This window comes from Homo sapiens, chromosome 9, assembly GCF_000001405.40.
Source record: "Homo sapiens chromosome 9, GRCh38.p14 Primary Assembly".
NCBI classification, from domain to species: domain Eukaryota; kingdom Metazoa; phylum Chordata; class Mammalia; order Primates; family Hominidae; genus Homo; species Homo sapiens.
Window position 1 is genome coordinate 115,829,494 of NC_000009.12, and position 27,741 is coordinate 115,857,234.

The following is a 27,741-nucleotide window of genomic DNA, read 5'->3' on the forward strand; positions in this document are numbered from 1 at the left end:
CAACAACCTGAAGTTAACTATATACACAATTCCAATATCTGCCTGTGAGAATAAGAAAAGTTTTCTCAAAGAAGGTAATTATTGAGCTCAGATTAAAGGTTATATAGAAATTCACTAGATAGACAAGGATGGAGTGAGAAGACAGGTGGTAGAACTGGGTGTGAGAGGTGGGAAATCACTCTGCACAGCAGTGCTGAAGGCGTGCCACAATCCAGACAGCTAAGAATCACCATACACTTCTGTATGAGTGAAGAGTGGGACTTAAATTAGGCAGTAGTGGGAAATGAGATTAAAGATTTCAGCAAGGACAGAGCATGAGAACTTTGTGTGCCAGGCTCAGGAGTTTGGAGATTGTCCTGAAGACAATCAGTGGTCACAGAAAGGAAACGAGCAGTGGCATAAGAGTCAGATCTGTGATTTCAGACTGATAATCTGAATGTTGGCCAGTAGATAAAGAAAGACAAAACTTCAGAATGTCATAATGCAAGGTTTTATTAAAAATAAAAACCTTTGGATGACCATGTGTCTACCACACAATAATTTTTTTTTTTTTTTTTTTTTGAGACAGTCTCGCTCTGTCACCCAGGCTGAAGTGCAGTGGCATGATCTTGGCTCACAGCAACCTTCGCCTCTTGGGTTCAAGTGATTCTCCTGCCTCACCTTCCTGAGTAGCTAGGATTACAGGTGTGTGCCACCACATCAGGCTAACTTTTGTATTTTTAGTAAAGACAAGGTTTCACCATGTTGGCCAGGCTGGTCTTGAACTCCTGGCCTCAAGTTATCCGCTCACCTCAGCCTCCCAAAGTGCTGGGATTATAGGTGTGAGCCACTGTGCCTGGCTGCACATAGTAATTTCTCCTCAAAGAAAATCCGAAGGAAAACTAAGTATGAAGTTCAAAAATGCAGAAAGCCTCTTCATACTAAGAGGAAGGCCAAAGCTTACTGTGACTGGTGAGTCTTTCTAGCCTCTTCCCAAAGAACCCATATTTATTGTTACTGGAAATGTATGTATTAGAAGATATAGAGATCAGGAGACCAGCTCCAGGTTTCAGGGACGAAGAGACAAACAGGCATTTTTTGGACCCTGTGCCATTCTGAAACCAGATGATTGAGTGTTTGTTTTCCCATTGTCTGCATTTATGCCTTGTCCTCCAACACGAATAATTGTCAAGGTTTTGGTAGGCTGAAGTATATTCTAGGGAAATTGGATCTGCAATTTTGCAGAATTTCACAGTATCTTTTGCAGTTCTGTGTAAAATTGATTGTTTAAATCTAGTTTATTTTACCTTGTTGGTCCTGGACTTACTATCAGCTGAAATATTTATATCGCTGCCCCTTAGGAGTTATGCATTTCCCTTGTTCTGTAAAAACAATAATAAAATAAAAGTGCTGACCTGCTCTATGTATATGAGTAATTGTTTTTATTTTAATTGCTTGAGTGCTTGTGGAAGGAGATTGAATTGTCTGGCCTCTTTTCTCTTTGACCATTTCTTGCATTACTTTCGTTTTTTTCCTTTTGCCACCAAAAGTATTATGCTGGTCACCAACCATGTCTTTGGAGACTATTTGAAGTTGAAATTTTCATGCTAAATCTAGCCATTTAAAAGGAGATGTGGGAAGCATAGACATACACAATCATGCCTTGCTACCCAATGCAGAAGTCCTCCTCACCAAGACAGGCCCCGGGACACTGGAAAAAAAAGCCTAAGCATATTCTTGCTGTTGTTTAAGTCTTATTTTTGAAAGCAAGCCCCCCCTCCCCGCACACACACAAATAGACACACATATTTTTTCTTACAAATAACGTTGTCTTCCCAACACACTCCCCTTCTGACCGCATTCATTTATTCAACACAATTAATGAATAATCATTGTGTGTCAATCAGAGAGCAAAACAGTCAAGTATATGACTGTATAGTCTCTGGTTTATCATGGAAAGTGGACAACTTAGCATTTAACACTATCATGGGGCGATATACCATGGGAGAGTGTTTTTCGGATCCAGAAAGTCATGCAAGTTATGTCAGGAAAAGTGATATTCAAGCTGAATAAGAAGAATGTGTGAGAAAAGTCTAGCAATAGAAAGGAAAACTGTTACAGATTAGAGTTGAAGTGTCAGTTGGTAAGAGATTCAACTAGGGAGATGAGGACCTGGATGGTATCATTTTTAAAAATTATGTTTCTACAACCATGTGGTCAGGCATACTCTGTTCCATACCAGCTCCAAATCTTCATAGCTGTTTGGTCTTGAGCAAGTTTCTTTCTAAGACTTGAGCAAGGTAGAGCATATAAATTGTTTGTACAGTGGCTGAAATGTGGTAACTGCTCAATAAGAATTAATGTCTATTATGATAATAACTTGATTAGTATTATGATTATCATTATTATTATTGTTACATAATTTATTATGTAACACCTCAGTCAAGTTATTTGGGATCAACATTTTCCTGGAAGCCATCCAACACTCGATCACCTCTCTACCCATTCTACTCTTGTTCCCCCTCCATCTGTCCTTTTCTTTCTCTTGCCCTCTCACTCTGTAGCGATGCTCCATCATGATTGGGCTCCAGGAACTGGACAATTGATAATCTAAAGTAATGGAGTCCTGTTTGTTATTTCCATGCCAGGACCATGTCAAAGATCAGTTCCCATACATAACTCACTTGGAAATTCACATTAGCATGTTCTACCCCTTAAGGGGAGAGGGATGAATGAGCAGAGCCTAAAATATGAGTCAAATACTATTTCTCACTTGGTTGTCAACACTAAAGATACTCTTTGGTTTGACCCTGTTCATGTTTCTCAGTTTATCCACATTCCTATATCACTGCCATATGTGAAGTTAGGATTCATCTTCCATTTAAATGAGTGTAATATCATCCCCATTTTTCTTTCTCTTTGTTTCCAAACTGCCTGCTCCAATCCAGCTTCCACTGAGATATCAAAAGCATCTTTCAATAATACCACACTGATCATTTTATATCCACATTTGAAAACCTTCAAACGTTTCCTCTTTTCTAAATAATTAATCTATCAGGATACTTTTGATTGCAAAGAACAATAACAAACTCACAATAATTTAAAAGGTAATGAGAATATATTGTTTTATATCCCTGAGAAATCCACAGGTAATTTGCACTATAGACACAATTTGATAAGGTTTTACATGGTTTGGATCTGTGTTCCTACTTAAATTTCATTTTGAATTGTAATCCCCATAATTCCCTTGTGTCTAAGGAAAAACCTGGTAGGCTGTTTTCCTCATGCTGTTCTCATGATAGTGAGTGAGTTCTCGTGAGATCTGATGGTTTTATAAGGGGCCCCTTCCCGCTTCATTCTCTTTCTCTTTCTCCTGTTGCCATGTAGCAGGTATTGTTTCCCCTTCGGCCATGATTGCGAGTTTCCTGAGGCCTCCCCAACCATGTGGAACTGTGAGTCAGTTAAACCCCTTTCCTTTATAAATTACCCAGTCTCAGATATTTCTTTATAGCAGTGTGAAAATTTACTAATGCAAAGGTGTAAGCTGTTTCTCTGTTATTCTCTTAGTTCCCCTCCAAATGTCAGCTTTATTCTTTAGCCAGCCTTTCTCATGAATGGAAAAATGTTTAAAGCAGTCATGGGTATTCTATCTGCACTCCACACGATCTAGAGGCAGAGAGACAAACAAGAGTCAAGGGATTTTTTTCAATGGCTTCTTCTTAAGGTATGGACCTACCTCTGAACCAATCGTTGAATCTATAGCGATATTGGGAGTTGACTGCCTTAGGTTTCGGTTTAAAACCCATCTCTGAGTGGAACCCTGTGGGAAGATTTGTGGGACTGCTGTAATCTGTTAGTTGAGGAGAATCAGGACCAACTGTGGAAGCATGAATTAAAGGAATTTCTAGCCAAACAAAATGAGCCATTGTGGAGAGATGCAGTAGTGGATGCTTGGAAGGCAAATATGATGTCCTTCACCTAGGGGTGTCATTCAAGGCTCATCACAGTGTACCTCCAACTTGATTCCAGTTTCCCATTATGGCTCTTCGTATGTTACTGTTAACAGACTGAATTAATTGCCCAAAGTTTCTAGTTCTGTGCTTTTATTTCAGATTAACTTTCTGTGTGGAAAGCTAACCTTCTGCCTCTGCTCTTTCTTCAATAATGCCTACCCTTAAACCATATCTAGCCTTTAAGATGCACCTGAAGTGCTGTCTCCTCATAGATACACAGTATTTTTCTGCCTCTGTCTCCAGCTGTAATGAATTAAAAAACACTGAATTTGCCATCATCCAGTCTGGATTTACATTCAGGAGCTATCCCTTACTAACAGAGTGGTTATGTGATACTGCTTTCCTTGCTTGGCCTCTTTCTCATCTTATTGAAAGACTGGTTTTCTCTGTCTTTCTTTTTTTAACCAAGGAAGTACTGTTGGTTTGTCTTGGAGCATTCTTCTATAGGTAAATGATGTCGTTTCTTATTTAAATACCTAAAACACTGCTGAGTTAGATTTTTGAGCTGGAATTTTGAAAAGTCCAGAAGGCTACTTATTTTATTAGGGAAATATTTAAAGAATAACAGCCCAATGCTCTAAAAATTATTATTCAAGTGCATGAAGACTATTGAGGCAGCCTACAAAAGTTACACATTCCCCATAGTTCTGCCATGAGGCACCAATATATATTTTATCTCATTTGTAAGTAAGTCTTATTCTGTACAGCACCTATATTTTTGAGAAGTAGTTTGTAAATCAAATTTCATGTTCTCATTACCTATAGAGTAATCATAAAGATTAATTTTATAGAATTATTTTCAATTTTTAGTGGCCTCAAATACCTCTGCTGCATGGTAAGTTATTAACGAACTGTAAATACATATTTAACTTAACATTTTAAAGGTAAGCATTAATGAAGCAAAAACTCTTTGGATTATATTGGTAATAATCACTGATTCATTAGTTTTGGAAGTTTAAGTTTTGGTTTTGATGAGCTTTTATCTGTGTTGGAAACTTGTATTCTGACTTCCTTTTAGATTAAAACAAGGGCATAAATAAATGCTGACATGAAGGCATGAAGAAACAAAATTGCAGCACAAGATGTCAATTTCAATTGTAGAACAAGGGCATTTTTAGAACTGATATGGTTTCCTTTATGTCGATTTCAAACGTTAGTGGTGAATGGTTGTGAACATCTTTAATCAGACTTTTAAAGATGTGAGTATTCATATGGCTTTTAATATTTTTTCCTTTTGCAGACCACATTGTTTTTTTGATATATCAAGTTCACTAGTAATTCTGAGAAGCAACTAAGTATATGAAATATGATTCATGAAGGTCAGTGTAGCATTGGGTTAAGAGTGTAAGCACTGCCGGGTGAGGAAGTGCTCATCATATAACAGAGATGGGTGAGAAAGTGCTCATCATATAACAGAGACATGCAGAAAGGACAGAGGAGTCGATATGAAGAAAGCTGAATGGCTAAGTCTGGGTTGAGTCAAGCAAAAAATAGAAAATAAAAACACTGAATGATGTAAGTTATAAAATAAAATAAATATCCATAAATTTATGCTGATATAACAAAGGAATAAGTGAATGAATAAATGAATGAATGTCAGTAAATAAGTAGAGAGAAAAAGATACCCTTTCTTATGGTACAATCTATTAGTTTCCTATTGTTATTGTAACAAATTATGGTGACTCTTCACTTTACATAGTGGATAGATTTTTGAAAACTCTGACTTTTCAACTGGTTCAGGAAATCAATTTTACCATAGGCTAATTGATATAACAAGAGTTCATTTCCTAGCATATATTGCTGGTCACAAAAAAAAAAATTACCAAACTTCAAAATAAAGACTAAAAAATTGCTAACATTAAACACTGAAACAAAAGTAAGATAATTATTTACCCAATTATTCCAGTTCAGGGTCACCAGGGGCTAGACTCTATCCTGGCAACTCAGGAAGCAAGGTGGGAACCAATACTGGACCAGATGCCATTCTATGGCAGAGCACACTCACTCACACATACACATACATACATACAAACACATGCACACGCATGCACTCACACTCATTCAGACAATTTGGACACATCAATTAACCTGACATGCACATCTTTAGAATGTAAGGGGAAACGCCAGTGCCTGAAGAAAACTCATTCAGACATAGGAAGGATGTGGCTCTCTGGCCGAAAATCAGTTTAATTTTTTTTCTCATTACTATTACAATGAAATTATGTTGGGCAAAAATGATGTTTTTGGAGTAATGTTGTACTACAAATTTATTAAAGAAAACAAATTAATTCTTAAATTAAAAAATTATAGTTCTGGAGGTCAGAAGTTTGAAATGGGTCTCACTGGGATAAAATCAAGTGTGAGCCGAAGTAGATTTCTTACAGAAAGCTCTAAGGGAGAATACATTTTCTTCCCATTTCCAGCTTCAACAGACTTCCTGCATTCCTAGGATTGTGGTTCCTTCCATCATCAGTGTCAGGGATAATCAGCAGAATTTTTCCCATATGGATCTGACACAACTCTTCCACATCTCCTCCACTTAAAGGACCCTTGTGGTTACATAGGACCATCTGGGCAATCCAAACTGAGCTCCTTTTCTTAAGGTCGTCTGATTAGCCTATATAATTTCATCTACAATCTGATTTCCTCCTTGCCATGAAACATAGTATATACACAAGTTCTGGGGTTTAAGACATAGCTATTTTGGGAGGACCATTATTCTGCCTGTCAGATAGAATTACACTGATAAATATAAGAGGAATAATGTAAATAAAAATTACCACTTGGAAAACACCATTGTAATAATCATTGTATGCATCAATGTATACTACCATTAGGGATGATGAAAGGCATACTATTTAAATAGTTTCAAATTATCTCCACACATAATGCTTACTAATTACAAATACGGTAATTAAAATTTTGCATGCAGAAACATGACAGACATCACCACAACCAAGAAATCTGTGAGCTATGGGACAACTAGAAGCAACCACATATATGTGTAATTGGAGTCCCCAAAGGAGGGAAGAGAGAGAAAGAATAACAAGACAGTATTTAAAGAAATAATGACTGAAAATTCTCCACATTCAAAGAAAATTATAAACTCACATATCCCAGGAGCACAAATAACAAGCAGGAGAAACACGAGGAAAACTACAACAAGGCACATCATAATAAAATTTCTTAAACCAATGATAAAAAAAGTTGTGATCAGACAAACAAAAACAACTCATTATGCACAGAGGATAAAAGGTAATGCTGAATACTCATCAGGAAAAATGGAACTCAGAGGAAAGTAAAGCAACATTATTAAAGTATTGAAAAGAGACAAAAACAAAATTAAAAACAAGTCGATCTGGAATATTCTATCAACATGAATATATTTAAAATGCTAAAGCAAAATAAAGAATTTTACAGACAAAAAGAGAACCGAAAGAGCTTGTCTTTGGTCAACTAGCTCTAGAAGAAATGCTTTAAAAAAATCTTTCAAATAGAAGATAGCCAGAAATAATTTAGCACTTACACAAAGAAGTGGACAGAATCGGAAATTGTAAATATGTATATAACAATAAAATGCTTTTACTCTCTTTATTAAAACTTATTAAAAAATAAATATCTAACTTTGATTTCTCAAAAAAGAGTGACAGGGATCATATTTAGTCTCTTACTCCACTGAAACTACCAACAAACAAAATATATGAACCAATGGTTTTCAAGACATCAGGCAATGAAGGGCAGTGATCCCTGAGAGACAGGAAACAAGGTGAACATTGTAATTGCCACAGCTTATCATCTGGAGAGAGTTTCCAGGCCTAGCAGCAAGAAAAGGAACGCAGTCTGAACAGAAAAGGTTCCCTAAGTTGAGGAGACAGAAATGAGTCCTAGGAGACCAAGGAGGCTAGAATTCTCAGTACAGAGTAATAGAGAGGAGTTAGTTGCACAAAGAGAGAACTTTGAACATATACAGGGGGTGCCTCTCAATTTTTTTAGCTCAATATTACTAGAATGCTAATTCCTCCAAAATGGATCTATAGCTTCAATGCAAATACAATCAAAAACCTAGAAGAGATTTCTGTAGAAGTTAACGTACTACTTCTATAATTTATATGGAAAAGCATGGGGCCTAGAATAGACAAAATAATTTTGGAAAAAAAAATGAATAGGAGGGACAAACACAACTTGATATTAAGACTTGTTATGAAGCTGATATTTTTTAAAGGCATTTTTTTCGGAATGCAAGTGTTGCTGATGTTTTGCCTCACCAGCACACTTCTTTTGAGCTCATGTGAGCCAGGGACAGGGAGACATCTGTTTCCCTTCAGGGGCGTCTTCAGTAGCAGTTTCCTGCCACAAATTCACTCTCCATGTTCTAAATACATATAACCTTGTTCTAGTACTGCCTGTCCTCAAATTGTCCTTTTCTTTTCATTTATTTTTTAAATTCGGAGCAGCACTACAGAACCTTATAGATCAAGCTTATCCAACCCACGGCCTGTAGGCCTCATGCAGCCCAGCATGGCTTTGAATGTGGCCCAACACAAATTTGTGAACTTTCTTAAGACATTATGAGATTTTTCTGTGTGATTTTTTTTTTTTTTAGCCCATCAGTTATCATTAGTGTTAGTGTATTTTATGTGTGGCCCAAGACAATTCTTTCAGTGTGGCCCAGGGAAGCCAAAAGATTGGACAGTGCTGTTGCAGATGTATTCAAGAACAATAGATAGAAGGACTAATCAATTGATCCTGGAAAAACTGCAGATAATGGCCTGGAAAAACTACCACTAATCAGAGGATTCAGGCTACTGAGGACCATGGTTTCTAGAACTTATTAAGGCTGCCATGAACTTAGAACTCACATACTGTTCTAAGATCTTTTAAACCAAAAAAAAATCTGAGATAGATCTCAATCAAGTCAGAAGTTTATTTTGCCAAGATTGAGGACACTCCTGGGGAAAAAAAAAAAAAAAAAAGGAAAGAAAGAAAGACAAGTTTCAGTTGGATCTGTGGCCTGTGCTTTTTTCCAAAGAAGGTTTTGAGAACTTCAATATGTAAAGCGGGGAAAGAGGGCAGGAGGGGAAAGAAGAAAAAAAGAGGGAGGGTAGGCAATGAGGCAAGTGGTTACATTTTCGTGAGGCTTTGATTAGTCTCACTGAATCCACATTTTACATGTGAAAAGGGAGGAAGAGGGGGAAAAAGTCAATTATTCATTCATTCATCTGGCGCTCAGGAAATCTACATTTTATGTAAGATAAAATAAGCCAGGCTGGGTGCAGTGGCTCATGCCTGTAATCCCACAACTTTGGGAGGCCAAGGCAGATGGATCACAAGGTCAGAAGTTTGAGACCAGCCTGGCCAATGTGGTGAAACCCAGTCTCTACTAAAATATAAAAAATTATATATTTTTGAGTGGAGGTGTGTGCCTGTAGTCCCAGCTACTCAGGAGGCTAAGGCTGGAGAATCACTTGAACCCAGGAGGCAGAGGTTGCAGTGAGCAGAGAGCGCACCACTGCACTCCAGCCTCAATGACACAGAGAGACTCCATCTCAAAAAAAAAAAAAAAAAAAAAAGCATGTGAAATTATAGCTATCTGTTTGGGAACAAAACGAAGTCAGTTTTGTTGTTGTCACTGTTGTCGTTTTTCAAGTGAATCAGTTCCCAAGCTGAACTTTTCCCTTTGGCATAGTGAGTTTCATGTGCGTCCGTGTGAAGAGACCACCAAACAGGCTTTGTGTGAGCAACATGGCTGTTTATTTCACCTGGGTGCAGGCTGGCTGAGTCCGAAAAGAGAGTCAGCGAAGGGAGATAAGGGTGGGGCCGTTTTATAGGATTTGGGTAGGTAAAGGAAAATTACAGTCAAAGGGGGTTTGTTCTCTGGCGGGCAGGAGTGGGGGTTGCGAGGTGCTCAGTGGAGGTGCTTTTTGAGCCAGGATGAGCCAGGAAAAGGACTTTCACAAGGTAATGTCATCCCTTAAAGCAAGGACCAGCCATTTACACTTCTTTTGTGGTGGAATGTCATCAGTTAAGGTGGGGCAGGGCATATTCACTTCTTTTGTGATTCTTCAGTTACTTCAGGCCATCTGGGCGTATATGTGCAAGTCACAGGGGATGTGATGGCTTGGCTTGGGCTCAGAGGCTTGACATTCCTGCCTTCTTTTATTAATAATAAAAATAAAACAAAATGGTGTTGAAGTGTTGGGGCGGCGAAAATTTTGGGGGGGTGATATGGAGAGAGAATGGGCGATGTTTCTCAGGGCTGCTTCAAGCGGGATTAGGGGCGGCGTGGGAACCTAGAGTGGGAGAGATTAAGCTGAAGGGAGGTCTTGTGGTAAGGGGTGATATTGTGGGGATGTTAGAAGAAACATTTGTCATATAGAATGATTGGTGATGGCCTGGATATGGTTTTGGATGAGTTGAGAAACTAAATGGAATAACAGAAGGAGAAAAACAGGTATAAAAGGTCTAAGAATTGGGACGACTCAGGATATCTGATTAGAGAGTGCCTAAGGAGATTCAGCATAGTCCTGCCAGCAAAGATTATTTATTTACTTCAAGAGTTAAGAGTGGCAGTTTGGGGATAGCACCAGGAGATATCAGCTGTGATGGCTTCGAAAAACAGTGTAAACCGGCAGTGTAAACAAGAGCAGGGCATGTATGAGTAGTTGAGAACGGTGAATAGGAGTATGACTAGACAGAAGATAGTAGGGATGACAAGTTCTTTTTTGGGGCACAGTCTAAGTTGGTCTGGTGTCTGGAATGAGACTGGGGCCTAATAAAAAGGAGCATCTATACAGGAGCTCAAATGGGCTGTACCCTGTAGCATTCCGAGGACAGGCCTGAATTCTGAGAAGGGAAAGTGGTAAAAGTATTGTCCAGTCCTTTTTAAGTTGGTGGCTGAGCTTGGTGAGGTGTGTTTTTAAAAGACCTTTAGTCCATTCTACTTTTCTTGAAGACGGAGGACCGTAAGGGATATAAAGGCTTCACTGAATACTAGCAGCCTGAAAAACTGCTTGGTTGATTTGACTAATAAAGGCTCGTCTGTTATCAGACTGTATTGAGGTGGGAAGGCTAAACTGAGGAATTATGTCTGACAGAAGGGAAGAAATGACTGCGGTGGCCTTCTCAGACCCTGTAGGAAAGGCCTCTACCTATCCAGTGAAAGTATCTACCTAGACTAAGAGGTATTTTAGTTATCTGACTCCGAGCATGTTGAGTAAAGCTAATTTGCCAGTCCTGGGTGGGGCAAATCCTCGAGCTTGATGTCTAGAGAAGGGAGGGGGCCTGAATAATCCCTGAGGAGTAGTAGTATAATAGCAGATGGAACACTGAGAAGTTATTTCCTTGAGGATAGATTTCCACGATGGAAAGGAAATGAGAGGTTCTAAGAGGCGGGCTAGTGGCTTGTACTATAGCATAACCTGCCTTTGCTTTTGTGTGGCGATTAGGCCTGGTGGCACCGCCATCAATAAATCAAGCGTGATCAGGGTGAGGAACAGGAAAGAAGGAAATTTGGGGAAATGGGGTGAATGTCAGGTGGATCAGAGAGATACAGTCATGGGGGTCAGGTGTGGTATCAGGAATAATGTGGGAGGCCGGATTGAAGTCTGGGCCAGGAACAACGGTAATTGTGGGAGACTCAACAAAGAGTGAGTATAGCTGAAGGAGCCGGGAAGCAGACAGTATATGCATCAGGTATGAGGAAGAAAATCGATTTTGGAAGTTATGAGAACTGTAGAGAGTGAGTTGAGCATAGTTTGTGATTTTGAGGGCCTCTAAAAGTATTAATGCAGCGGCAGCCGCTGCACGCAGACATGAGGGCTAGGCTAAAACAGTAAGGTCAAGTTGTTTGGACAGAAAGGCTACAGGGTGTGGTCCTGGCTCTTGTGTAAGAATTCTGACCACGCTAACCATGCCTAGGAAGGAAAGGAGTTGTTGTTTTGTAGAAGGTGCTGGGGTTTGAGAGATCAGTTGGACACGATTGGCAGGGAGAGCACGTGTGTTTTTATGAGAATTATGCCGAGATAGGTAACAGATGAGGAAGAAATTTGGTCTTGATTGAAGTAATGGGGGCTGTCTGTGAAGCTTTGCGGCAGTACAGCCTAGGTAATTTGCTGAGCTTGATGGGTGTCAGGGTCAGTCCAAGTGAAAGTGAAGAGAGGCTGGGATTAAGGGTGCAAAGGAATAGTAAAGAAAGCATGTTTGAGATCCAGAACAGAATAATGGGTTATAGAGGCAGGTATTGAGGATAGGAGAGTATATGGGTTTGGCACCACGGGGTGGATAGGCAAAACAATTTGGTTGATAAGGCGCAGATCCTGAACTAACTTGTAAGGCTTGTCTGGTTTTAGGACAGGTAAAATGGGGGAATTGTAAGGAGAGTTTATAGGCTTTAAAAGGCCATGCTGTAGCAGGCGAGTGATAACAGGCTTTAATCTTTTTAAAGCGTGCTGTGGGATGGGATATTGGCATTGAGTGGGGTAAGGGTGATGAGGTTTTAATGAGATGGTAAGGGGTGCATGATCGGTCGCCAAGGAAGGAGTAGAGGTATCTTATACTTGTGGGTTAAGGTGGGGAGATACAAGAGGAGGACGCAAAGGAGGCTTTGGATTGGGAAGGAGGACGGCAATGAGATACAGCTGTAGTCCAGGAATCGTCAGGGAAGCAGATAATTTAGTTAAAGTGTCTCAGCCTAATAAGGGAACTGGGCAGGTGGGGATAACTAAAAAGGAGTGCTTCAAAGAGTATTGTCTAAGTTGGCACCAGAGTTGGGGAGTTTTAAGAGGTTTAGAAGCCTGGCCGTCAATACCCACAACAGTTATGGAGGGAAGGGAAACAGGCCCTTGAAAAGAAGGTAATGTGGAGTGGGTAGCCTCCATATTGATTAAGAAGGGGACGGGCTTACCTTCCACTGTGAGAGTTACTGGAAGCTCGGCGTCCATGATGGTCTAGGGGGCTCCCGAGGCGATCGGGCAGTGTCAGTCTTCAGCCGCTAAGCCGAGAAGATCTGGGAAGGAGTCAGTCAGAGAGCCTTGGGCCAGAGTTCCTGGGGCTCTGGGAGTGGCTGCCAGGTGAGTTGAACAGTCTGATTTTCAGTGGGGTCCCACACAGATGGGACGCGGCTTAGGAGGAATCCCGGGCAGCGGGCATTCCTTGGCCCAGTGGCCAGATTTCCGGCAAGTGTAGCAAGCTCCTGTGGGAGGAGGTTCTGGAGGAACGCCTGGCTGCTGCGGTTCAGGCGTTTGGAAGTTCTTGTGTGCTGGAGATGTGGCTGGGGTTTGTCTCACAGTGGAGGCAAGGAATTGCAACTTTTTTCTATTATTGTACACCTTGAAGGCGAGGTTAATTAAATCGTGTTGTGGGGTTTGAGGGCCGGAATTTAATTTTTGGAGTTTTATTTAATGTCGGGAGCAGATTGGGTAATAAAATGTATTTTGAGAATAAGACGGCCTTTTGACTTTTTAGGGTCTAGGGCTATAAAGTGTCTCAGGGTTGCTGCCAAACAAGTCATGAACTGGGCTGGATTTTTATATTTGATGAAAAAGAGCCTAAACGCTATCTGATTTGGGATAAAGAAAAAGGAGCATTAACCTTGACTATGCCTTTGGCTCCAGCCACCTTTTTAAGAGTAAATTGCTGGGCAGGTGGGGGAGGGCTAGTCACCGAACGAAACTGTAAGCCGGACCAGGTGTGAGGAGGGGAGGCGATAAAAAGATTATAGGGTGGAGGAGCGGAGGCTGAGGAAGCATTGGGACCTAGCTCGGCCTGGCGAGGAGCAGCCTGGGGAGGAAGGGAGAGGTCAGATGGGTCTGTAGAAAAGGAAGATTAGAAAGACTCAGCGATGCTTGGGGTTGGGACTGAGGGGACAGGCAGGAGGGAAAGAAGGAAGATTTGGGACGAGTTGCACTGGGCACAGAGACTAGGAAGGGACTGATGTGTAAAAGAATGCCTGGACGTCAGGCACCTCAGACCGTTTGCCTATTTTACGACAAGAATTACTTAGATTTTGCAGGATGGAAAAATTCAAAGTGCCATTTTCTGGCTATTTGGAACTACTGTCAAGTTTGTACTGGGGTCAAGCGGCATTGCAGAAGAAAAGGCATTTAGATTTTAGGTCAGGTGTGAGTTGAAGAGGTTTGAAGTTTTTGAGAACACAGGCTAAGGGAGAAGAAGGAGGAATGGAAGGTGGAAGCTTACCCATAGTGAAGGAGGCAAGCCCAGAGAAAAGAGTAGAGACAGAGAGAAGGGGTGGAGGGTTCTTGCCCTCCAGAAAAGCAGAGAAGGGGTTGGGGCACGGAAATAAGGGATTGGGGTACAGAGATAAGAGGTCAGGGTGCGGAAATAAGGGATTGGGGCACAGAGATAAGAGGTTGGGGTGTGGATATAAGCGATTGGGGGGTTCTTGCCCCCTAGGAAAGCGGGACTTGCCGCTAAGGGTGAAGGAGAAGGGGTTGAGGGGTACTTGCCCCTGCCCCAGGAAAGCAGAGAAGGGGTAGAGACAAGGAGAGAAGGGGTTGGGGTACTTGCCCCTTCCCCAGAAAAGCAGGACTTGCCGCTAAGGGTGAAGGACCAAGGCAGGCGTCCCTGCGTGCTCTGACACCTTTGAAACGTGGGTGAACAATCAGAGAGGCATCCCTGCAATGATTAAACACCAAGGGAAGGCTGCCATCCCAGTCCGTGACCGGCGCCGGAGTTTTGGGTCCACAGATAAAACGTGTCTCCTTTGTCTCTCCCAGAAAATGAAAGGAATTGAAATTAAGAGAAAGGAGAGATTGAAGAGTGGAAAGAAGAAAGTGGTTGAGGGACAGTGAGGGAAGTTGGAGAAGAGAGTAAGAAGAGGCCGCTTACCTGATTTAAAATTAGTGAGATGTTCCTTGGGCTGGTTGGTCTGAGGATCTGAGGTTGTAGGTAGATATTTCTCACGGAGCAAAGAACAGGAGGACAGGGGATTGATCTCCCAAGGGAGGTCCCCCGATCCGAGTCACAGCACCAAATTTCATGCGCTTCCGTGTGAAGAGACCACCAAACAGGCTTTGTGTGAGCAACATGGCTGTTTATTTCACCTGGGTGCAGGCGGGCTGAATGCGAAAAGAGAGTCAGTGAAGGGAGATAAGGGTGGGGCCGTTTTATAGGATTTGGGTAGGTAAAGGAAAATTACAGTCAAAGGGGGTTTGTTCTCTGGCGGGCAGGAGTAGGGGATGCAAGGTGCTCAGTGGGGGTGCTTTTTGAGCCAGGATGAGCCAGGAAAAGGACTTTCACAAGGTAATGTCATCCCTTAAAGCAAGGACCAGCCATTTACACTTCTTTTGTGGTGGAATGTCATCAGTTAAGGTGGGGCAGGGCATATTCACTTCTTTTGTGATTCTTCAGTTACTTCAGGCCATCTGGGCATATATGTGCAAGTCACAGGGGATGTGATGGCTTGGCTTGGGCTCAGAGGCCTGACAGTGAGTTTGGGGTTCTGAGATTTTATTTTTCTTTCACAATCTCAATTAATTCCTATAAACAATTAGAAAAGTAAGATTGCTGATTTTTTTCAAAAATTTTGTTATAGTAATGATATTATTACTTTGTATGTCTTTTTTCATTTTTCCCTGAATTATCATCTAAGCATATCCTCACTTTTATACATTACCATAATTTAAATCTGCCGCAATAATCATTATAAACAAACTCTGAAATAATCTTCTTTTTAAAAACAAAACTAATTTAGCTCAGTTCCACAAAAAGTTTTGAAGCCCCACTATAATTTTGACCCGAAGTTACAAACATAAATTTATATGCTCTCCTTTCCCAAAAAGGGACAGAATGAAAAGAAACGTGAATATTAACTTTTATTGCAATTTCTCCAGACTTCAGACATATCTCCATGTTGTTTCCCAATTTCAGAAGGTTGTTATGCGGAGCTAAATGATCCAAGTGAAATAATGTGTGACTGAACCTTCTTTTCTAGGATACAAGCTGTATAATGTAGAACATGGCTTTGAAAAAGAAAGTCCTCTGAGTCTTCCTAACTGTGGAACTTTGCCAATCTTTTTACACTTTCTTGGCCTCTCTTCTTACATCTAAATACTAGGATCATCATACCTATTTCACAGGTTTTTTATGAGGATAATATAAGATAATCAATATTAAGTTCCCAATTCAGGGCAGGACACCTGGTCATTGTTCAGGCAAACAAATTCCCTCCCTCTAGAGTGGAGGAAGGGACGAAGAGGCTGCTGATCATCAAGAGAAGGGCGAAAGCTGTCAGCAATAGAACATAACAATTTATAAATTTCGTATTTCACAACAAGCTCTGGGACATCCATGGAAATAAACAAACACAGAGTCTGGGGCCTATTCCCAGCCACAGAGTTCAATGCAAATGCACCTGAATGACTAAAGTGTGTTGCAGATGATTCACCAGCCTCTGACTGCAATCTGTGTCCATCTGCTGAACTAGCCTGGCCACTCCACCCAAAAGGGGCCCACATGGACTTCTTCAGATTATCTCTTAGAGGGAATTCTGCTTGCTCTCAAGGTATCTTAAGCAAAGCACTCATTCCAATTATTTAGCAAGATGTGTGAAAGAAGCAGGCAAGTTTTTCCATGCATCCTTAGAGTTCATCAAGATCCTATCCCTCTTTTAGCAAAAGGGAAGACAGATTCCAGGGAAGTGAGGAGTGACTTGTCCAAGGTGTCACAGACAGACAGACAGACATTCAAGTCTCACCTTTTGGTTTTCTTGTTTAACTCTAATGCATTTGTATTTTGCAATGTGCTGCTTAACAGGGTGTTTGCCAAAGTGTTGTCTTTTTCTTGAGAATTAGAAGAGTGATGGGATCATGTCCCAAAACCTTCCAAATACCACTCAGTAGCCTCACATGCTGGGAGTTTTTCTGTATTTGCAGACACATGCAGTCTGACCCTTGCTTGCTAAACTGCCCAATTGTGACTTTTCTCTCTCCATCTGCTGTGTTGTTTGAATCCTTCTTTACAAGAATTCAATTAGACAATAATGCAAATGCATATTTCATCTACTCATGCACATTTAGTAGACATGCTAGTCGATTGTGGCCATCTTTCTCGCTGAGTCTCTAACTTACTTCAAAAAATTGTCTTAATACAGTTCTCTGATTAGTTAACACATGTAGGAATTATTTCAGAAGCCATTCACTATGCAGTCACAGAGAGTAGGGTCTCGACAATGTTCTCTTTTGAAGGAAACTCACAAAAAATATAATTCCAATATAATAGTGCTAGTGGTGAGTCTAGGGCTTTGGCACAAAGCAGGAACTCAACAAATGTTTGTTGAATGAATGAATGACACAACTGAATAAATGTGATAGGCATTAGATAAGTTTTGCCAACTAAGAATTACAGAATTTCCTGGATAGAAAAGGATGGATGGATTGTTAGAGATGTAGAGAGGGGGGAAGCAACTTGACAAGGTTTTTATTAAGTGATTATAATCAAAGCTGAATAACACATGGACTTATTAATAGAAAGAAAAATTAAAACATCAGACACTGAGAAGGGGTGAGGATCCTACAAAATTGATCTCTGTTCATGAAACCAACATGCTTTATATGGATTTTTCATAGTAAATAACTCCTAATAGGTTTCCAAAATGGACACACACACATGCACCCTTTGGATCTCACATATCTGTTTGCTTCATAATTAATGAAACACTGTGAAGTGAAATTGTTCACTGTGCTCTGTTCTTTTTTGTAAAGCTTTAAAATATGCATATTTGTTATATCATAATGTGTTTTTAAAAAGTTTAGCTTGTTATGGCAATTGGTGAAATTGGCAGCTTCTCTTACTTTGAGGTGATTTCAGAAATCATGATGTCCAGGAAAAAGAGAGTGAGGGGAAAATATATTTTTTGGAAAATGCTGCTGCTCTTTCTTAAATACAGTGATGCTTGTTTGTACGTGTGGTAAAAAGCCAATGACTCAGCTTTGCAACAAAACTCACTAAGGAATCCCAGCTGACTCAAAGGTACACTGAAAATCCATGGATGTAGCTGTCTGGTTTTCCCATCAGACAGCCTTTCCACAAATGGTTGCCCTGTTTTGTTTTGTTATTTTAAAATTAATTCTACTTAGAAAACTTTTCTGCTGGATATGCAGAGAAGAGGAATGAATACATTTTAGGCATTTTACATAGAAGACCAATGAGAGAAATGAATGGGAATGTTATGAAGTGAATGATTTAGGGTAGGGGAGTAGACCATTGTTCTGGGAGGGGCACATGTCTTAGGAGAGCTGGCAGCCTGGGTTCTAGGGCAGGCTCAGCTCCCTCTTCTTTGGCAAGTTCCTCCCCCTCAAGAGTCTCCCTCTTTCCATTCCTATGAATAAAGGGATTTGGTACAACTACTTTGGAACATTCTTTGGCATTATCTCCAATAGCAGAAAATATGTATACCATATGATGAAGCAATTCCACTACTAAATATATACCAATAGACATGAGTGAAAATGTGTATTAAAAGATGTATGCACTTTGGGAGACCGAGGAGGGCGGATCACTTGAGGTCAGGAGTTTGAGACCAGCTTGTCCAACATGGTGAAGCCCTGTGTCTACTAAAAATACAACAAAATTACCTGGGTGTGGTGTAGCATGCCTTTAATCCAGCTACTCAAGAGGCTGAGGCACGAGAATTGCTTGAACCCAGGAGGCGGAGATTGCAGTAAGCCAAGATCGATCGCGTCACTGCACTCCAGCCTGGGCAGCAGAGTGAGAATGTGTCTTAAAAAAAAAAAAAAAAAAAAAGGTATGTTCAGGAGCGTTCTTATCTTCAATGCCTATAACAATAATTTAAAAAATGGAAATATGTGTTCATCAACACTAAGCTGTGTTATAGTCATGAAATATTTTATAACAATGAAAAGGAGTATGCAAAAACATTGATGAATCTCAAAATGTTGAAGAAATACACCAGGCACCAGAAAAAGATTCACACTATATGATGCTATTTATGAACAATTCAAAAATAAATAAAGCTAATTTATAGTGAGATAAGTGGTTTGGGATTCTATAGCTCTGGATTGGAATCTTGAATTTGCAAATAAGTGGTTGTAGGGTTTGGATAAGTTGAATTACCTCTCAAAGTCTGTTTCCCCACGCAGCTCGTAAAGCAATTAATATAGTGCCTTTCATATGCAAGGTATGTGGAAAATAATGATTCTCATTATTAGTGTTCCAAACTCTTAGGTCTGCTGTTCCTCTGAAGTATGTTATTCTAGATTTGGAAAGGAATTTCTGTTTGTGGCTTTAGGTCTCTACCATGCCCCCTATCACATACATCTTTGTTCTTCTTTGTTTCTTCAATCCCTCTTTCTATCCTTATGTCTTCCATTTTTGCTTTTTTAATGCCTTCTTCTCTATCTTTCCATCCTGTCTTGCTTTTGATTTTTCTGTGGCTCTCCAAGGACTTCACATCAATACTTGATCCTAAAACTCTTTCAATACTAAAAGCAGTTGCTGACATTTTCTCCTACTTCACTCTTTTCATCTCTCTCTCTCCTGTTTTCCATGTGTATGGTCACAGACACTGCCAGCCACATTAGTGTGTAATCATTAAAATTCCATGTGAATTCATTCCTGGGTTCAAGGCACAGCTGTGCCGTGGCACAAATGTTTCATGTCATGTAATAAAAAGTAATGGCATCAAGAAATCCAGAGGCTCCTCTGACATGTTCTACTTCCATGGAGTACAACTGTAAATCCTTCACTTCTCATTTAGTCAACAGCCTCACTCTCCCCCTACCCATGACAGTCTAAGTCCCGTAAATGTTTTCTTTCTACTGCTCATAGACACTTGTCCTCTATTTTTCCTCTTGCTATACTTTACTACATTTTCCATTCAGCAATGCATTTTTAAAGTATAAATTATGTCCTATAACTCCTTTGTTTAAATCTATCTAACAATATCCCAGTGTACCTAAAGTACATTCAAAGTAAGAACCGTAACCTCCCAAGCCTTTCATGATCCCTCCTCTCAGCACCTACCTATTATCGTTCTCTCTGTTTATTACAATGGTCCTACTTTTGTTTCTCACATATACTACACTTATATTCAACTCAGGATTTTTGCACATACAAAGGCTCTAGTAGGATATTCTTTTCCCAGAATATTTGATGGATAGCTCCTTTTCATCATTCAAGTTTATATATTACATATAGGGAGAGGGTTTTCCCAAGGCCAGTCTAGCTAAAGTAACCTTTACCCCACCCTAAGTTACTGTGGCATCACTCTATTTAATTTTCTTTATAACAACTCTCATTAACCTCATTTATCTGTCTTACTATTTTGTTGTTGTTTACATGCTTGTTGGTGTGGATGTTGTGGGGGCTTAATATAGTTATAGGTGAGGTTGGTTATATTTGTATTACAGGATGTGGTAGAGTAGCTATTCAATAATGTTGTTTCCTGTGGTTTGGGTTTCGTTATGCCTCCTCATGGTCAAATCCAATAACTCCATGATCCTGGCAGAAGAACTGGTGTGTTTAATGAAAGAAATGTGGGCTCAGATGTCTTTCTCTCTTCATCTCTGATTCCAACATAATCACACTCGCTGGCTTCCAGCCACTGGGGCAAGCCATTTTCCAGGCTTGACTTGAGAGTGAGAACTATACAAATTTCTCGACTTTTCTTACAGGCTTTTGCATGATCTTAGCTAACAGTTTTCTGAAAAGGAAGAATATTTTTGGCATGTTTGTAGACTATTAGCCAAAGCATCAACAGCTGAGTTCCAGCTGACTAATTTCTCCCCTGCTTGGTGCATCTAAGACAGAGTAAAAATACTTTTTGTATTTGTTTTGTTTTGTTTGTTTGTGTTCCAATCCCAAAGAACCCAAATACTCCCCAAAACAGCATGGAGAGATGACAATTGCTGCTAGTGTATTGTAGAAAATGTATAGAAGAAACACTGAATACTTAATAAATGTGTGTACCCCCCAAAAATTTGAACTTCCTTTATAAAAAGTTTCAATCCTATGTTTATTGATTATTTATTTTGTAAACAAACTCTTAGGCAGAGACTACACATAATAATCCCTTCAAACCCTCTTCCCTTCTTTAAAAGCAGGAATAGGTTTAGAAAACACACACACACACACACACACACACACACACACAAACACACACACAGAGACAAACACATACACGCACACAACAGATGGGCACTGGGATGTAGCTAAAACATTTTAGAATTTGATCTGAACTCAAGTCTTGGTTCAACACATAGTAGCTGTTTGATATTGACCACACATTTAACCTTCTTGAGCTACAGCTTCCTGTCTAGTACAAGACATGTAATAACTGCTTTACTTTTTTTCTTGTTGTTGAATGCAAAATGAATTTGTTAAATCCTTAGGAATTCAATAAATGTCAGTTTTCTTCATCAACCAAATCACCTTAACAATGATCTTTGCTAAGAGAGCAGTCAAGTGAAAGAGTTAGGTCTTTCTGATGCCCCTTAAGGAACACAATTGCTCTACTAAAATGATTGCAGCTCTTCTTCTGTTACTCTGGAGAGTATTAACCTCAGCTGAGTGCAGCTTGTGGGGTAAATACACACCCACCAAGGAGTAGGATGAGTTTATAAACAATTATGCAAATATGGCTTCATGCTTTTCTCCAGACATAACCACAAGATGAGTACAGATTAATCACTGTGGACACTGTTGGCAAACAGAGCATTTCATTCTGTTCTTCCTGAGAAATAGGAATTAGTGTCTAAGATTGAGACTCATTTCAGCTAAACAAGCAGGGTGGAAATGAGAGGTGGCTGAATTGTCTCTGTTCTCTTTCAAGTAATTCTCAAAGAAGAATCTGAACAGTTTAGCATGAAGGAAAAATGCTGGACTAATGGAGATGGGGGTAATCCTGAGCATTTGGGAGTTCCTACTATTCTGTGGTAAATATCAATACAAATTCCCATCCAGTACTGTTGGTCAAAATTAAGCCCCCAGACTACCTGTATCTTTTATCTCTTAGATCTCAATGGAAGCAAGAATCCTGCATAAGGGCCAAAAAGACACTTCTACATATGTGATTATCTATTAACCGAATAGGGTGGAGGTAGAAGGGATCATTTATATTTATATACAAATATAACATTAAATGCCAACTATTGAGTGGCCATGGTGAGTTCATCTCATTTCTGTTTTTTTGTTTGTTTTTGTTTTTGTTTTTTTTTTGAAACGGAACCTTGCTCTGTCACCCAGACTGTAGTGAAGTGACAGGATCTCAGCTCACTGCAACCTCCACCTCCCGGGTTCAAGGGATTCTCCTGTCTCAGCCTCCCGAGTAGTGGGGATTACAGGTGCACGCCACCACGCCTGGCTTATTTTTGCATTTTTAGTAGAGATGGGGTTTCACCATGTTTGTCAGGCTGGTCTCGAATGCCTGACCTTGTGATCTGCCTGCCTCAGCCTTCCAAAGTGCTGGGATTACAGGCATGAGCCACCATGCCTGGCCTCATTTCTGTGTTTTAATGAGCTTCAGTTCTCTCCTTTGCACAATGAGAATAAATTATACGAAAGTTGTCATTTAAGAGAAGAGACTTTTTTATAATTAATATTCTTATCAAAGCCACACTCATTTATTTGAAAAAGAATTTGACTTAATTTACTTGTTCAACAAATTTTTATTTAGTACCTATTATGGATCCAGTTCATCTAGGCACTTGCAATAAATTATTAAATTAAAGATACAAAAATCATTGCATTCATGGAACTTATATTCTAACATAGTTCACAGATAAGAAACACAGTATATTTATATGTAGAGAGAGATAATTTATTTGTACATATATATAATTTGTTTATACATATACACATGCATATAAACACATAATGTATAATACTATAAGTTTGATGAAACAAAATCTTGAACAAGAAGACTTCTTAAGGTGATGTTTAAATCAGTTGAGTCCATGAAAATATAAAGATACAAACAGACAAATATCTGTGTTGAACACATTGAATTCATTGTGCCTTTGTTTCTCCATCTGTCTAATAATAAAATTTATCAACTTTAGTAAAATTTCAAAACACAAAATCAGTGTACAAAAATCAATAGCATTTCTGGGGTACATAAAATATTTGGATACAAGCATGCAAAACATAATAATCACATCATGGAAAATTGGGTATCCATCCTTTCAAGCACTTATGCTTTGTATTACAAGCAATCCAATTACATTCTTTTCATTATTTTTAAATGTATAATTAAATTAGTATTGACTATAGTCACCCTGTTGTGCTATCAAATACTAGGTATCCACAAAAATTTTTAAAAATCGAAAATAAAAATCAGTAGCATGTCTATACACCGATAATGTTCAAGCTGAGAGCCAAATCAAGAATGCAATCTCATTTACAATACACACACACATACCTAGGAATACATGTAGCCAACAAGGTGAAAGATCTCTATAAGGAGGACTACAAAGCACTGCTCAAAGAAATTGTAAGTGATGCAAACAAATGGAAAAACATTCCATGCTCATGGATTGGAAGACTCAATATCATTAAAATGGCCATATTGCCCAAAGCAATCTACAAATTCAATGCTATTATTATCAAACTACCAATGTCATTTTTCACAAAACTAGAAAAATACTATTCCAAAATTCATATAAAACCATAAAGAGCCTGAATATCCAAAGCAATCCTAAACAAAAAGAACAAAGCCAGAGGCATAATGTGGCCTTATTTAAAACTATACTATAAGGCTACAGTAACCAAAACATCATGGTACTGGTACAAAAACAGACACAAAGACCAATGGAACAAAATAGAGAACCCAGAAATAAAACTGCACACCTATAGCCATCTGATCTTCAACAAAGACAACAAAAAATGAGCAATGGTGAAAGGACTCCCCATTCAATAAATGGTGCTGGGATTATTTGGCTACTCATTTGCAGAAGAACAAAATTGGACCCCGGCCTGTCATCATATACAAAAATTAACCAAAGATCCATTAAATATGTAAATGTAAGACTTTAAAATATAAGAATTCTAGAAGAAAACCTAGGAAACACCATTCTATACATAAGCCTTGGGAAATAATTTATGAGTAAGTTCTCAAAAGCAATTCTAACAAAAACAAAAATTGACAAAGGGGACCTAATTAAAGAGTTTCTGTGCAACAAAAGAAACTGTCAACAGCATAAACAGATAACCTACAGAATGGGAGAAAACATTCACAAACTAAGCATCTGACAAAGATCTAATATCCAGAATTTATAAGGAATTTAAAAAACTCAACAAGCCAAAAACAACTTTATTTAAAAATGGGCAGAAGACATGAAGGTATACTTTTCAAAAGAAAACATATGAACAGCCAGTAAACATGATAAAATGTACCATATCACTAATCATCAGAGGAATGTGAATCAAAATCACAATGATACACCATCCCACACTAGTCAGAATGACTATTATTAAAATATCAAAAAATATAGACACTAGTGAGCTGTGGAGAAAAGGGAATACTTATACACTGTTAGTGGGAATATAAATTAGTTCATCCCCAGTGGAAAGCAGTTTGGAGATTTCTCAAACAGAACTACCACTCAACCCAGCAATCCCATTACTGGGCATACATCCAAAAGAAAAACGAATTATTCTACCAAATGGATACATGTACTCGCATGTTCATCACAGTTCTATTCACAATAGCAAAGACATGGAATCAACCTAGGTGCTCATCAATGGTAGGCTGGATAAAGAAAATGCAGTACATATATACCACAGAATACTACACACCCATAAAAAGAACAATATTGTCATTTGCAGCAACATGGTTGCAGCTGGAGGACATTATTCTAAGCAAATTAACACAGGAACAGAAAACCAAATATAACGTGTTCTGACTTATAAGTGGGAGTTAGACATTGAGTATCCATGGGTATAAAGATGGCCACAATGGAAATTGGAGACTACTAAAGTGAGGAGAGACAGGAGGCAAGAGCTGGAAAACTACCCACTGGGTACTATTCATTCATACCCCAAACCTCAGCATCACACAATATACCGAGGTAAAAAACCTGCACATGTACATGTACCCCCTGAATCTAAAGTAAAATTTGTAAAAAAAAAAAAAAAAAGGAATTTGTAATCAATTTCAGTCATAAAAGTAAATCCAACATACTAAATTTTTAAAAAGTGTCAGTTTCTTCAAAGCAAGCAAATAGAATATTTAAGTTACTCTGGAGGAAATGTGTAATAAAACCACATCAGTACAACTTCAGTAGGAAGATAGTTGACATCTATCTGTGTTCTGGTCTCTCTCTAGGTGTAATTAGCTCATATATCTCAGATGAGAACTAACCTGATCTCAGTTTCTCAGTAGGCTTTTTTTTTTTTTTTTTTGCAAAGTTGAGATTATATCTATTCGCCTTTTTTTTTTTTTTTTTGCAAATTTGAGGTTATATCTGTTCTACCTATCTTAAAGATATCTATGAGAACCGTGTGGCATAAATGCACTCTAAAGTATGTATAAATTGTATGGAAGCAAGATGATTTAAGATAAATTATACATTTCTCATTAGATTGCAAGCATAAATAATATTTGTTTAACTAATGAGATCTCACATATTATAAGCAGTCTGTATCTCTTCAAAAATGTCTTATAAATTTACTGTTATAAGTAAGTACAGAAGCTCTTCTACTTAAAAAATTTCAAATTGTAAGTGTTTATAGATTTTAATAAAGCTGCTCATGAGAACAAAAGCAGATTGACTGTACCCACCACAAGCAGATAAAAACAGCATCATAAACTCTTTTTAGTCTCATCTATCCTTTTTTATTAGTTTATGTCATATTAAGTATTGAAACTACTAAAATTTTACAAACATTCTATGATAAAGAAAGACAAAATGCAAACATCTTTGGATATATTTTTAAGAGAGTTAACAAGAAATAAGAAGATTTAGAATTAATATTGTCAACGTCTACAGTTTTCCTGTGAAACTTAATTTTACATAGGTTTTGAGCAATATTTTAGACATGTTAATGCACTTGTGTGCAGCTATTTAGAATGTAGACTTTTCTAAAAGACTCATCTGTGCTCACTTTTATGACTGTTGTGAGAATCAAGGACATGCAGAAATAAGTAGTGTTTTTAGGCTGAGTGATGGCTTCCCCAATATGTCCTTGGCCTAATCCCTAGAACCTGTGAATGTAACCTTATATAGTTACAGGGATGGTGCAAATGGGGTTAAGAGTTAACCAGTTAAGAGTCTTGAAATGGGTAGATTATTTTATCCTGTATTATCTCAGTGGGGTCTAAATGTAATCACAAGTGTCCTTATAATAGGGAGGTGTAGGGAAATTTGACTACAAACACAGGAGAGAAGGTGATGTGATGACAAAATAGAGCAATTTGAAGATGCTAAGCTGCTTGCTCTAAAGATAAAGGGGCAAAAGGCCAAGGAATGCAAGGAATGCAGCTCTAGAAGCTGAAAAGACCAAGGAAAATGATTTTTCCCCCAGAGCTTCCCCAGGGAGAAGGACCATGCTGACACCTATGTTTGGACTCAGTGAAACTGAATTTGGGTTTCTGACATTCATAACTACACAGAATAAATGTGTGTTATTTGGAGCCACCAAGTTTGTGATAATTTGTTTTAGCAGTGATAGGAAATTAGTAGAGTGTGAACCTCAAATTATTGGTGACATCCCTCCAAAAGATACAATTTTATACAGCTAACGTTGTGCTGTTCTGTGTTAAACAACATTCAGATTCACTGGGGCCAGAATCTTGAGATCATCTGTTACATTTTCAGTATATCAAAGGACAGAAAGTTTCTTTTCTGGAAACAGATGAAACCAGATTAACATTCTGGAACTACCCAGAAAGATATCATTTTTGATAAATTGCTCAAGTTTTTGCCTCAATGTTCTCATCTATTAAAGGGAGCTTATAATAATATCTTTATTCATAAGGCTTAAGTTATGATAAAACAATACAGGCTTAGCACATAGCACAGTTTTGGCATCTATTATGTTTCAGGAACATATTAACTGTTATTGCTCTTGATGGCAGCAAACCCTGAGCCAGGAGGCAGCAATGTATTGGAAAGATCAACATCTGCCCAAGATAAAAGCGAAGTTGTGGCAAGCACTAAGTGTAAACTCACAGTAAAAAGAAAAAGATGTCAATTACCTTGATTATTGTAATTTATTTGTTTAAAAACCTGCCGAGATGACCCAACACTCTTTGTTCTTACTCCTGTGTGTTAATATAAACTCCAGTCCCATAGTTGTCAATGCAGATCCCAGGTGACCACACCTGTGTTGAAATCATCTTGGTAAGAATTATCTTTCAGAGTTGGGGACCTGGGCTCTATCACTGACTAGGAAGATGGACATTGGCGAGTTATTTTTCCATTATGTACCTCAGTTTTCTTACATGTAAAGTGGAGTATCATGAAGTTATCTGTGTCAGTGGGCTATTTTAGAGGTTGAGATCTATTTGGGTACATAGAATTTAGGAATTTAGGAAACTATTGTGCCTAGAATATAGCAAGTCCTCAAAAGATGACAGTTATGGACAGTATTAATTGTTAGACACTGGTGTCGGTCCATTTTGTGCTACTATAACAAAATACTGAGATCAAACAATTTATAGTGAACAAAAATTTAGTGTCTCATGATTCCGAGTCTTGAAAATCCAAGATTTAAGGAGCTTGTATTTGACATAGGGCTTCTTGCTATGTCATCTCATGGTTGGAGGACAAAGAAT

General features: G+C 38.8%; 3 annotated features.

Moving 5' to 3' along the window:
* Positions 9,699–10,291: an enhancer, noted in NCBI's record as "OCT4-NANOG-H3K27ac hESC enhancer chr9:118601471-118602063 (GRCh37/hg19 assembly coordinates)". NCBI's record gives its function as "activates a minimal SCP1, AML or CMV promoter by ChIP-STARR-seq in naive and primed H9 embryonic stem cells {active_cell/tissue: H9 hESC(naive and primed)}" and the evidence as "EXISTENCE:reporter gene assay evidence [ECO:0000049][PMID:30033119]".
* Positions 14,614–15,596: an enhancer, noted in NCBI's record as "OCT4-NANOG-H3K27ac hESC enhancer chr9:118606386-118607368 (GRCh37/hg19 assembly coordinates)". NCBI's record gives its function as "activates a minimal SCP1, AML or CMV promoter by ChIP-STARR-seq in naive and primed H9 embryonic stem cells {active_cell/tissue: H9 hESC(naive and primed)}" and the evidence as "EXISTENCE:reporter gene assay evidence [ECO:0000049][PMID:30033119]".
* Positions 26,156–26,657: an enhancer, noted in NCBI's record as "NANOG hESC enhancer chr9:118617928-118618429 (GRCh37/hg19 assembly coordinates)". NCBI's record gives its function as "activates a minimal SCP1, AML or CMV promoter by ChIP-STARR-seq in naive and primed H9 embryonic stem cells {active_cell/tissue: H9 hESC(naive and primed)}" and the evidence as "EXISTENCE:reporter gene assay evidence [ECO:0000049][PMID:30033119]".